Source organism: Homo sapiens, chromosome 21 (assembly GCF_000001405.40).
Source record: "Homo sapiens chromosome 21, GRCh38.p14 Primary Assembly".
NCBI lineage: Eukaryota > Metazoa > Chordata > Mammalia > Primates > Hominidae > Homo > Homo sapiens.
Window position 1 is genome coordinate 9,065,499 of NC_000021.9, and position 12,228 is coordinate 9,077,726.

At 58.2% G+C, this 12,228-nt stretch overlaps 2 pseudogenes across 3 annotated transcripts in view; both read right to left on the minus strand.

The window, feature by feature from the left end:
- Window positions 1-2,857: 2,857 nt before the first annotated feature.
- Window positions 2,858-12,228, minus strand: part of TEKT4P2 (tektin 4 pseudogene 2) — a 61,406-nt pseudogene continuing 52,035 nt past the window's right edge. Inside the window, exons 3-4 of one of the 3 annotated variants that reach the window (NR_038328.2) lie at window positions 4,716-4,946; window positions 2,858-3,161 (exon numbers count right to left, since the gene is read on the minus strand). The product of NR_038328.2 is annotated as a tektin 4 pseudogene 2, transcript variant 2 (transcript). Of the gene's footprint in view, window positions 4,102-4,715; window positions 4,947-10,918; window positions 12,217-12,228 lie in introns of those variants that run through there. The other 2 variants (NR_038327.2, NR_038329.2) reach the window with 2 other exon arrangements.
- Window positions 6,602-8,111, minus strand: LOC124904995 (tektin-4-like; annotated as a pseudogene).

Here is a 12,228-nt window from a genome sequence, read left to right on the forward strand (position 1 = left end):
TGGGGAGAGGAGCCTGAGAACAGCCCAGTGTGGGCATCCACCTTCCTGCCCACTTTGGAGGTCTGAGTCACCTCCGGCCACTCTCCCAATCCCCAGGAGCCCAGAGGCTTCCTGGAGCAAGCCACACCTGATCTCCACCATGGGTAGGAGTTCAAGGCCAGGCCAACAGGGACTCCACAGAGGGGCCTGTGGGTTAGCAGCAGCTGCCAGTGTCCAGATGGCCTCAGGGGTGGGGGTTAGACAATCTGGAGGTCAGCAGGGAATTCAGCATGAGGAGACAGCCCTTAGGGTTCTGGCCCAGCAGCCCCAGGTGCTGGCTCTGCACTGAGTCATGAAGTTTGTGGGCCAGGGGCGTTGGCCTCTCTCTAGCTGAGAGTGACTTCCATCACTGCTGTCATTAGCCTCCCCTGCATCAACCTGTCCCTGGGGTGGGAGCACAGTTGGCACAGGGACCCTCAGGCCTTAGTTTTCCCTGCTGTAAAATGCATGTGATAGGCTGTCATGAGGTCTGAAGGAGTTAAAACCTGCCATGTGCTCAGGATGACACCTAGCTCGGTGCCTCCTACCCTGGTGCCACCATCCGGCATCAGAGATGAAATACTTCTCCCAGGCCCCCTCCCCTGGCACCCCCCACACTCAGCTCTCCATCAGCCACCCCCTCCAGGGTGGGACAAGGAGGTCCTGAGCCTGATGGGGACCTGACAGGGCTGGGCAGCGCCACCTGGGCCTGGGCGATAATGGGAGCCTGAGTGTGGGGCCTGCATGGAAGGAGCCATTGTTTCTTGGGCCTCTTAGTGGCTACTTCCCTAGAGTCTGGGAGAAGTGCTGCTGTTCAAGAGAGGACAGTGCCAGCAGCTCCTTCTGAGGCTGGGGTGGGCACAGCGTGGAGGGGCCTCACCTCCACCCACCTCCCATGGAGGTTCCTGGCTCTCCTGGAGGACTCCTTGCTACTGGGCTGAGGCACCAGGGCTGACCAGTCCCAGGATGGTGTTGGACAACCTGCATCCCCCTGCAGCAGGCAGGGAGGGCACTGCAGCCACCACCCACCCACACCTGACCCCTCCCTGGCCATCGTGTCTAGGGTGGCAGGGAGTGAAGCCCCCACCCAACAACCTCCCCCAGCTCAGGGGCCTTTGAGTTCACCACCATCTGCCTCACTGCAGGTTTCCCCTGTGCTGGGGGTGATTGCAGGGAGATGGTTCTTTGGCGTTCCCTGGGCAGGTCATTGCCTCAGCCCCTGCCTGGTGTCCTGGAGCAGCTTTGAGGAGCTACACGGACAGGACACCAACTGTCTGCAGCCCCCAGGTGAGGCTTGGCTGCTGTGTCCCACTGCTTCTGCTCCTGGCTGTCAAAGCCCCATGGTAACAGCATCCAGGGTGAATTTAAATGGCACCCCAAAGAATAAGAGTGGGCCTGGGTGTCACTGTAGTGGCTGGTGGCTTGTGACAAGTAGTGTGGCTTCCGTAGTGATGAGAAGTGACAGTTCCCCCTGAATCTGCACTGGAGAGAAGGTCCTGGAAGCTTTCAGGCCCACCCTCCAGGGTCTGGGTCTGCATCTCTGAGAGTGGCTGGGTGAGCAGAAGAATCCTGACTGCCTGGCAGTCGGGTTTGGAGCTGGGGAGGGCTGGGCCTGGTTAGCAATAAGCCTATCACAGTGAACCAGAGCTCAAGATAAAGCGAGAGGCCTAGCCCAGACACCTCCTTCCCTGGTCCCAGCCCCTGTGCCTTGGCCTGTGCAGTGGAAGCCAGGCTCCCTCCTCCAGGAAGTCTTCCCTGCACTTCCTGCTCACACACAGCCTCTCCCAGATTTCTCCCCATCCAGGCTGAGTAGGATTCCCAAGAAGGCTCCTCCCTGAGCCAACTGCCTGCAGTCAACATTATCACCTCCCCCAGTGAATGGCAGTAGTGTTTTTCATCTTCAGCAGTGGCCTCTGGAGGGGTCCTAGCAGGTCGGGGAGAGAGGTCTGAGTTAGTCCCACGTGAAAGGCAGCCCATGCCTCTCCTCCCAGCAACCCCTAGCAGCAACTTCCACCTGGCTGACCCCACCCAGCTCACAGAGTTGCCCAGCTGGGTGTCCTTGTGGTTGATTGGGGGGAAGGGGCTGTTACCTCCCGGTCCCCTTCAGGCTGAGACAAGAGCCCTGTGGGTCTGGATCTTGCAGATGGGACCCCCACCCACATGCTCTCCAGGTGGATGCCCACCCTGGGCTGTTCTCAGGCCCCTCTCCCCACACTGGGCCCACACCCCGGAGGGAACTCCATGTACCCCTGCCGATCTGCCCATCTGAGCCTCAGGGGTCCTGGGCACTGAGAGCTGGGCTGGGCTGAGCTCAGGTACACACTGTCATTGGGGACGGAGAGGGGATGCTGAAGTGGGTGCTTCTGCGTGGGGCCTGCCTGGAGGATCGCCACAGCAGGTGCACCCAGCAGCCAGACCAGCTTCTAGCAGAATAAGCGCACTGTCACAGGGGTATGTGAGCTGAGGCTGGGGGCCTGGAGGTGCAGGGAGAGGAGTTGGGGAGATGCAGAGGCCCCAAAGATGTCCCAAGTCCCTAAGACTCTGGTGAGGGAATGGAGGAGCCAGCACTGGTGGGGAAGTGGGCAGGGGGAACTGGATGGCCTGGCTCTGAGCTGGACACACGGTCTGCACCCACACTTGAGCTGTGCTGTGAAGGCCCAGTCCCCACCTGGGCATGTCCTGTCCTCTGAGGCACAGGGATTCCTCCCCCTCAGCTCTGACCCCTCATCTCCAACTGTTGGGATGACAAGTCCATAGGCAGAGCCAGCCTCACAGGGGACCCAAAGGCCAGTTCAGATGGACAGCAACTGGAGGTCCCACCGGGCACACACACACACTGTGCAGAAAGCTAACGCACTGTTTATTTGGGGGATTGGGGGGAAGCACCGTGCCGCTGCTCACTGGTAGCCAGCCAGCTGCAGAATGGTGGGGTAGCAAGTACGATGGGCCATGCACTTCTGGCGGTCGATGAAGAGACTGTTGGTCATGGCAGTGACGTCCTTCTCCAGGCTCATGTGGATGTCCTTGAGGTTGCGCAGGGACTGCTCCGCTTGTAGAAGCTTCTCCCGCAGCGCTGTGATGGACTTGTACAGCTCCTCCACCTCACTCACCAGCTTGGGGGTGTTGGGGGGTGTGAGCTGGGGCTGGGGAGGGCAGAAGTATGCACCTACTGGGGTGGAGGGGACCCAAAACTCCCAATGGGAGCTGGCAGGAGGTCCTGGGAAGACGCCATGAAAGGATCCTACCAGGAAAGCGGCTCTAGGGCAGAGCATAAATTACGAGGGTCCTCCCAGGGAGCGCGGGCCTGAGTGGGAATGAGTGACCCGCGTGCAATCTCGACCCTGACAGGACAGGACTGGCCTCAGCCGACCAGGCTCAGTTCTTTCCATTCCTGATATTTGACGGAAGGAGGCACCCAGTTCCTTGAAGGAACTGAGGGGCAGGGAAGGAAGAAAGGTACTTAGGCTCAGAAGGGGCCACCAGGCATCCGTTAACAAGGGAAACAAAAGGACGGCCCATCTATGCCTGTAGCCCAGGCGTAGGTCATACTTTCCACCAGAGGTGGGGACAGCACCCTCAGGGCAGCAGGGAATGGCCCTCTCTGGCCTCTCTGGCCCCGTGGCCTCCAGGAGCTCACCTTGTCTGAAGGAGCTTCCTCCCGGGAAGATGAGGTAGCACAGGGTGGGGTGAGACCACGTGGGCACAGGTCCCTGGCACGGGGAGGCCCCCGACCCATGACCTGCCCAGTGTCATGTCTATATCTGTGTGTTTAAGGCGTGCTTGCATGTTGTGTGTGGCCGCAGAGTCTCCCTCCCCTCTCAGCACCTGTGGGGGATGTGTGTGTGGAGATTGGAGTGTTTATTGGAGAGGGTCGCAGCGAGGAGGTGGATGGGGGCACCTGGGACTGCCTCAGAGGCCCAGGCAGTACCTGAACTGGGCTGCATCGCGGCACAGCTGCATGTTGGGCCGGTGTGAGAGCAACTACAGCCGGGTCTGGGCTATGTGCAGAGGTTCCTCCTTGTCCTTGATGGCCTCCTTCAGTGCCACCACGTTGTGTTCCTGATCTGTGATTTCCCGCAGCATCTGCAGACAGGACAGTGCCCCTTGGGCCTGTGCCCCCATGCCCGGGCATATGGAATGTAGAGACCAGTCTGGTCCTACCCAGCTCCTGGGGCTGTGTCCAGAGGGTGGTCCTGACCAGTGGCCCTGGGGAGGCGTGGGTGAGGGGAACAATGTGCACGGGGCCCCCAGCGGGCTCTGGAGAGTCAGGCAGCCTGTTGTCTCTTAGCTCTGGTCCAAGAACCCCCCATCCTTGGTGGTCACCAGGACCCAAATCCTGCTCAAGGACTGGGGACTCAGAGGTGGTAAAGGCCATGCTGAGGCCCTAGAGTCAGAGCCCTGCCTGCCAGGCCAGGACTCTTGGGGACCTCCCAGGCAGTCAATGCTCCCCAGACCAGCTCCTGCCTCCATCCTCCCCACAGCTCCTCCTTCTCAGTCATGGGGGTTGCAACACACTGCGATCATACCCAGTGTCACCTGGTTTTACATAGGTTTACGGAGAGGTGACACTTGCTTCTGGGGTCCCTCGGGATAAGTGGGACAGAGGAGAAAGGTGTTGAGGGCCCAGGCCAGGTGATGAGAGGGGGCAGAGTGGTGGGCAGGCGCCGGAGCCGTCTTCGGGGTTCAGGGTGCCCCACCTTGTGCAGGTGGTGCTGCAGCTTGTGCCGCGCGTCCTCCAGTTCCTCACAGCGGCGCCCGAAGGCCAGGTTCACGGCGTCACACTGGAGTCCCAGGTCCTCGGAGGTGTCGCGAAGGATGCAGTCCACCAGCACCCACAGGTTGGCCGAGTCCAGGCGCTCGCGCTGGGCGTGGCACAGATTGTCCTGTGTGAACTTGGTCCGGGTCTCTGGGGTGGAGGCGCTGCGGGGCTGGGGACAGCCAGGAGAGGGTCAGGGAGGCTATGCCAGTGGCTGGGGGCCCTGCCGCGCCCCCATTCCCTGTCTGCACCCCATGCTCCTGGAGGAACTGCATGGACTCCAATGCACCCCGTGCAGACTCACAAAGCCCAGTCCCCCAAGCTCCCTGCCTCCGAGTGCCCCCCGCCCACAACTCCCCTGAGTCCACCCACACCCTACCCACCCCGGGCACTTAGTCCCCTCCTGCCCCCGCGACCCCGTTCCCAGCACCGCTGCCCCCAAGGCCCCCTCTGCAGCACCTCCGTCCCCCGCAGCCCCCCTTCCCTAGTACCCAGCGCCCGCGTCCGCTTCTCGCACCCAGGAGTTTGCCATGCTCAAGTGGGCGGTGGTCGTGCTCCCTCTGCTGGCCTTGGGTGGAAATGCAATCCTGCCGGCGCCTGGGGCTGACCGCATCCCACCCTGTCCTGTCTACGGGCAACCAGGCTGTGCACGCGCTGGGCACTTGAGGAGGTCTTGCACGCTTTCTCATGCCAGGGGCAGACAGTTGCCCAAGTGCCCTCGGGGGCGAGGGCCTCTGGGCCAGGCTGGGGGAAGCAGCGCCGCTGGGGCCCCCAGGCAGAGGGAGGCGAGACCACAGCCAGGGCAAGCACGGGGACAGAGCTGGGGTCCCCATCTCTTGGAAGGTGGTGGAGTGCCGGATGAGCCTGCACCTCGGTGCTCTGGCTGTGGTGGCGCCCGAAAGTCTCGTCGAGGTTGTAGGCCTCCACCTTGTCCGACCAGTCCATCTCGCAGATCTCCGTGTGCTCTCTGTTCAGTCTGGGGCGGGGTGGGGCAGGGTCTTGGTGTGTGGCCAGGGAGGGCCCCACTGGGTACCCTCCATGCTGCAGGCTAGGCCTTCATGCCCGCTTCAGGAGGGAGCTCTGGGCCGGCTGTCCTTGTGCTCAGCAGTGACGAAGAGCTGCCGCCCATGCTGGGAGGCTGCAGATCAGTTGTGGCACTGGGCTTTGGCCACTCAAACTCAGGCTGGGCTGGAACCTCCCCCACCCAGCCCTGTGCTCCCACTGTGACCTGGGACAGCCCCTGCCGGCTCTGAGCTTCAGGGTTCTGTCGTTCAATGCCTTGCCCCAGGACCAGCCGTGGGTGGGGTCAGGAGTCATCCCTTGGGCAGCCCTCGACCCAAGGGTCTGGCTCACTGCTTGCACGATGGCTCTCTTCAGCAGCTCCTTAATGTTCCGGATGGGCTCAGCTTCCTGAGGGAGGAGACGCCCTGAGCACCAGATCCGGTCCTTGGTGAGGATCCCAGGAGGCCCAGCTGCTGAAGGCCTTGGTCAACACCTGAGCAACCAGAAATAGTTGAATGCCGGGCCTGAGCTCTGACTGTGCAAGTTCTGCTCTCTCACTGGGTTTATCCTGGGCTTTTGGGCATTCTCCTTGGTGCATTGTAAGTGGGTTGTTTTCCTCAAGGGCCTTCTATGGGCTGCTGGGAAGGTCCCTTAGTGGCAGTTCCCACGCCCCAGGCCTCAAGAGTCATCACTGCTGCTCACTCAGTGCACCCAGGAACGTTGGCCTGCCCCTGGCCTCTGGACAGCCCCCGAGGACCCAAACTCTGGGGGCCCAGATGCCCGCCCAGGCTGCCCCTCAGGGCTCTGTGTTGGGAAAGACCATCCTCACACCAAGAACAGGAGGAAGACCCTGTGTTTCTTCTTACTGCCTGGCCAGTTTAATTTTCTGTGTGTAGGAACAAGCCTTTTTTCCCTGTGATTGGGGTCTTTGCCGGGACCACCAGCTACCTCCTTGTGTGCCAGGGCCTGAGTCCTGCACCCCTCTGTCCCTGGGTTTGCCTCTTCCTGCACTGTCAGTGTCTCCATCACTTCGCAGGCACCCTTGTTGCAGGCAGAGGGTTTGCGGGAGCTGCAGCAGTTCTTGAGGCACTGAGAAGGTGCAGGGGGATAGGCCTGCAGAAGGGGAAGGGAGGGAGGAGGGAAGGCATGAAGGGAGGGAGGGACTCAAGGGTTCTTGCCTGAGTTTGGGGGTATGGCAGGAGACCAGCTGCCTCCACCCCACATCTTTCACAAATGTCTACAGGCCTGTAGTGGTTCTCATGGAGGCCCCAGGCTCTGAGAGCTCAGGGAATTCTCCAGAGCCAGCATCAGGGCCAGGACTGAGTTACTCTCTCACCCTATGGGGTTGCCCCATAGACAAGCTGGGCTGGATTGGGAAGTTACAGGTGACAAGGAGAAGGGGACCTGTGGGTGCAGATCTTCGTGTCCCCGGCTCTGTATAGGATGAATGGGAGCAGTGGCTCCCAGCCTATCCCACCCTACCTGTCCACACCCACAGTGCTGGCCCAGACCTGGGTTTCCACCTCGGGAGCAACTGTCCCAATCAGGGAGGGTCTCTGGGGAGCCCAGGGTCAGGATGACTGTGCCAGGACTCAAAGGTATTGGAGGAGGAGAGGAGAAACAGCTGCTTGGAAGTCGGGGCCTTCTGGGGCAAAACTGCCTCCTGTCACTAAGGGGCCAGATTTCGGGACTCAGGGGTCTCACGCATAGAGGGCTGGTCTCCCGTGTGCTTGCAGCAGCCACGTGGCTTGTCCACATGAACTGCCGGGGGCTCCTCCTCTCTGTGCCCACAAGTCCTGGCCACCCAAGGCTGCTGGCACCTTCAGCAGCTCCGTCTCCACATGGTCACGCACAAGGTTGGCGTGCTGGTGGCACTGGCTGCACTGCATGTTGTCAGTGGCAATGGAGAAGGGCACCTCCATGGCATCCAGGGCGCGCTCCAGCCGTTGCTTCTGGGCCAGCAGCAGGTCGGTCTCCGCAGCCAGCACCTTCACCTCGCGCTGCAGCTCCGACTTCCAGCTGTGCGTGTCCTGCAGTCGCTCGCCCACCCTGCACGTGGAGTCTTGCTGTGTCGGCTGTGCCAGCGTCTGGGTCTCTGCGGCCAGCTGCTGGCTCTCGTGCCCCTGCAGCTCCCGCTCTGACTGGTTGCAGTCGGCGAAGGCCTGGTGGTAGCGAGCATAGCAGTTCTGGAACCACACCTCCAGCTGGCGGTGGCCAGGCCGGAGGACGTGTAGACGCCCGTGTTGCGGGCCACATCATACTCTTTGCAGGGCAGCTCGCAGGGCGACACTGTCTGCGGTGCCGGCTCTGGTAGGAGCACATCCGTCTGCACCATGGTGTCTGCCGCCCACCAGGGCCAGGGGAGTGAGGAGTGTGTGTGGTCAGCTTGTTGCGGTCAGCCCAGTGCAGTCATCGGTCGGCTCCAAAGGCTCAGTCCCAGAGCAGGACGTGGCTCCCAGTCGCTTGGGTGACACAGTAAACCAAGAGCTTCCTGTTGCCAAGAAACGGGATCTCTTCTCCAGTGGCTAGGGGAGGGGGCATTCAGGGCGGTGGGCAGAATTGCCCTCTTAAAGGGCCAGGCAGCCCCAGCCCCACCATCCCTGTCCCCACCTCGGGGAAATCAACAGTGGCCAAGGGTTCCTGTCACTTAGAGGATCCCAGGGCCAGCCCGTCTCCAGCCTCTGTGTCCCACCCTTAGGGTTCAGGGTGTGGGTGGGGACCTACTGCCCTGGCCCCTTCGTTGATTCATCCATTTGTTCCTGGTTTGCTCTCTGATCCTGTCCTGTGCGGAGCTCCATGCTCAGGGTGAACAAGACAGAGGAGGCTCTGCCCACCTGCCCCCTCAGGGCAGAGGGCTGTGGTTGTTGTGTGGATGTTGGGTGTGCTGAGTGATAGTGTTACTTGATGCCGTACAGGTGGCTGCTCTCCCTGCCCTCCTGGCCCCAACAGCAGCCTGGTAGCACAGGGAGGGTCCCAGGCCAGGCCCCCTCAGGGGCAGTCTGAGGCAGTTCCTGCAGGGACTCCGCTCCATTTTCTCCTGGACCTAGTGCCTGAGAGCCAGGCCCTGGCCTCTGGCCTTCTCCTCCCAAGTCCCAGCCAGGGTCCCCTCAGGCTGGGCACAGCGGGGAGGGAGGGAGTCTGAGTGTGCTTTTCCCTGGAGAGTTGAATTCAGCCTCTGGATAAGTGTCCAGAGTCATATGCCCAAATCTGCCCCACAGGGCGGAGGCAGGTCTTGTGCTGCGGAGGCTGCCCTGAAAGCCACCCAGGGCCATGCTGCCTGGCGGAGGCTGGATGGGCAGTAAGCGCCCCAGGACACATCAGCATCCCCCAAACCTGGGGCCAGGGGAGCCCCAGCCTAGGCGCGATTCCCCACGCAGCCAGCGAAGGGCGGCTTTGGCCTGGCGGTGAGAAGCCTGCGGCTCCTGGCTCGGCCTCCCCTCCACCTGCCTGGCGCATGCACTCCTGGGGACCCCAGCCCCTCCGGCCTCCTCTTCCCTGAGAATCCCGCACCAGAAAGTCCTCGCTAGGAAGTCCATGCCCTTCCTACAGCACAGGCCCCTGGTCCCCTGTTCCTTCCACCTTCACCTCCTCTCCCACCACAGCCCGCACCCTCACTCCAGCCACAGGAGCCGGGGCTCCTCCTGGGCCATTCCCACCACGCCGCCCAGGTCTCTCCAGCACAACCATGTGCCGGCCAGTGCCCTCCTCCTGGACCTGACCTCCCCCGGTCCTGACCTCTCCCGTGGCCAGAACCCTCAGTCCATGCTGCTGTCACCACGGTGCGCCTGGCCTGACACAGCCTCCTGATGGGGCTTTGAGGACAGCAGCCGGGAGACTTACCCCAACCCAGGCCGAGCCAGAACCTATTGCAGGTGGCCTGGGAACCTCTTCTCACTGTCCGTCAAGATTGGGAGGTCAGCGGACCTTCAGGGACTGGTGTGGTCTGAGAAACATCCTTGAGCCTCGCCATGACTCAGTTTCCCCAGATGGCAGCAGGCTGGAGCCCATGCAGGGCAGGATGCCAGGCTCCACCTTTTGTCTGGAACCTGCATTCACTGGGCACCTCTCTGTAGGCATAGCAGAGCAGAGCTCCCTGTTTCTGTCCCTGATCTGCAGCCCCAGGAGCCCGAGAGACCACCTAAGCCAAGGAGAAGGCCTCTGGGCCAGAGCCCAGCTCTGCGAAGTGGGAGACCTCTCAGCCTCCACTTCCAGGTGCCCTGAAGTCGTTGGCAGGGGGTGCTGCCTACTTGGGGCTCCCAGACTAAGGGAACACATTCACCTGGTGACCACAATAGGCCCTGCAGGCTGAGGCACAGGATTTGACCAAGGACGCATCAGAGTTAGGGGACTGGGCCCTGACTCCTGCCAGCTGCAAACTCCCAAAGCCCCCAGCCCTTTCATGGGGTGAAGACACCCTGAAGGACACTCCAGTGTGCTCCCACCTCTGGGTTCTGCCAGCCAGAGAGTGGGACTCTCAGGCCACATGTGTCTTGCTGGATCTCAGCTTCAGGGACCCAGGGTGCTGGCAGCTCTCTGAGACCTGGGTCAGGGGGTGTCCATTAGAGCACCTTGGTCAGGACCCAGAGATAGGGAGGGCAGGGCTAAGAGCACCCCAGGCAGTTGGCATCTCCAGAAAGCAGGAGGTAGGGCATGGCTCTGTGACAGATGTCCCGTGACAGGGAGGATTGGAGGGACAGAGGGACGTGCTCAGGGGCTGAGGGGCAGACGAGGCTACCAAAGGGCACCTTGGACACTGGATGGCCCCAGGAAGGCCCCTGAACCCCATCCTGATTGATCCAGGACCAGTGTCCTTGGCCCAGACTGCAGGCCTGGGGACTCAGGTTCCTTTAGTTTCTTAAGAAACTACTATACTCCTTTTTGGCATAGCTGTACGATTTTACATTCCCACCAGTCATGTGTGAAAGCTCCAGTTTTTACTCATGCTCCCCAGCGTTTGATGTTTTATTTTTATTTTAGCTATTCTGATATATATGTGTTAGTCATTGTGGTCTTAATTTGCAAATTTCTAATGACTAATGATATTTAACATCTTTTCCTGTTCATAATTAAATACCATCTGTATTCCTTTTCACATATCATTAGCACAAATGTGAAATATCAGAACAAAATTTTTCACACAACTTCAAAATTTTTAGAGCAATACTCAAGGGAAAAGGTGTTTATTTAGAACAATGAAAACAATGAGACATTAACTTCCAGCTTAAATAAAGTTGATTGTGTGCATAAAAATGGTGAAAATATTGGACTTTCTTGGCAAAAGAAGAAAGGAGAAGACTTTATATTTTCTGACATAATATTCATCATTTGTCTTTGGTTTGTGTATTATGTGTATGATTTTGAAAAAATGCATCAAAGATATAACTTTCTGGTGTTTGCTTTGATATTATCCTTGCAAACAGAAAAGTTGGCACATGTTTCTGTATAAAACTGGTCAAAGTTGGCCTAGGAATGATCTTACATTGTACTTTCACTTTACATCATACTGTAAGAGTTTAATAATAGCTAAGGCATCAGCATTGATGTGGACTTATTATACCTATTCAAGAGGTGGTGTGAGGTTTAGGAGAGTTATGTGCCCTTTATCATAAAACAAATCTATGAAGCATTTATATAAAAACCCAGTATTTCTGGTTTCAAATTCAGTACTGTGCCGTCTGCTTGATAGATTTGTTCACAGGTTAGAGACATTTTATTGCATAACTTCCATGAAATATCACAGTTGTACTCTTGACTATGTTTGAATCACAAAAGACTTTAATCTGCACTCAGTTCTTGTAACTAAAATCTTCAGTTTGAATATGAATTTCACTTAAAGAACATCCCTAGAAATTACAGAGAGAAAAAGACTTTACTTGCAGAATACAATCTGCATTTGCTTTGACAACTAGTTAGTTCACATATGTAAAATAAGTCTACCTGTCTGTATGCATAATTAAGATGTAACAGTAGTGTGGTAATGACTTGTTAAAGCAATTCGAATGGCAGTGGATCATGGCACAATTTACCTTAAAAGCCATGAGCAGAATACATCACAAGCTATGATACAATGAATAGTCATTAGGTTTAAAGTAGTATCCACATATAAAAACACAAAGCATATTTTAGCTCTTTAAATGAAAGCTTCATTCAGTCAATATTGGTCTTCCTGTAGATGCATTTATGAAACAAAACCACAAAACATACAGCTTACCCGCTTCTCAAAACTCATTGCACAATAGGTTGAGGGACTTCTCTACACCAGGACCTATTATTAAAACCAGTAAGTCCTCAGTGAAAATCATTTATATGCCCGGAGTGTCATCTGATGTGTCTGTTGTAGGCAGCTGTGGCAGTGGTGGGTGGTTTAGTGACACGGACCCTGCCCACGTCTGTCCGTCCATCAGTGGGCTAGTGTCTCTCTGGCTGCACCTGAGAAGGGTCTATAGGAGTTA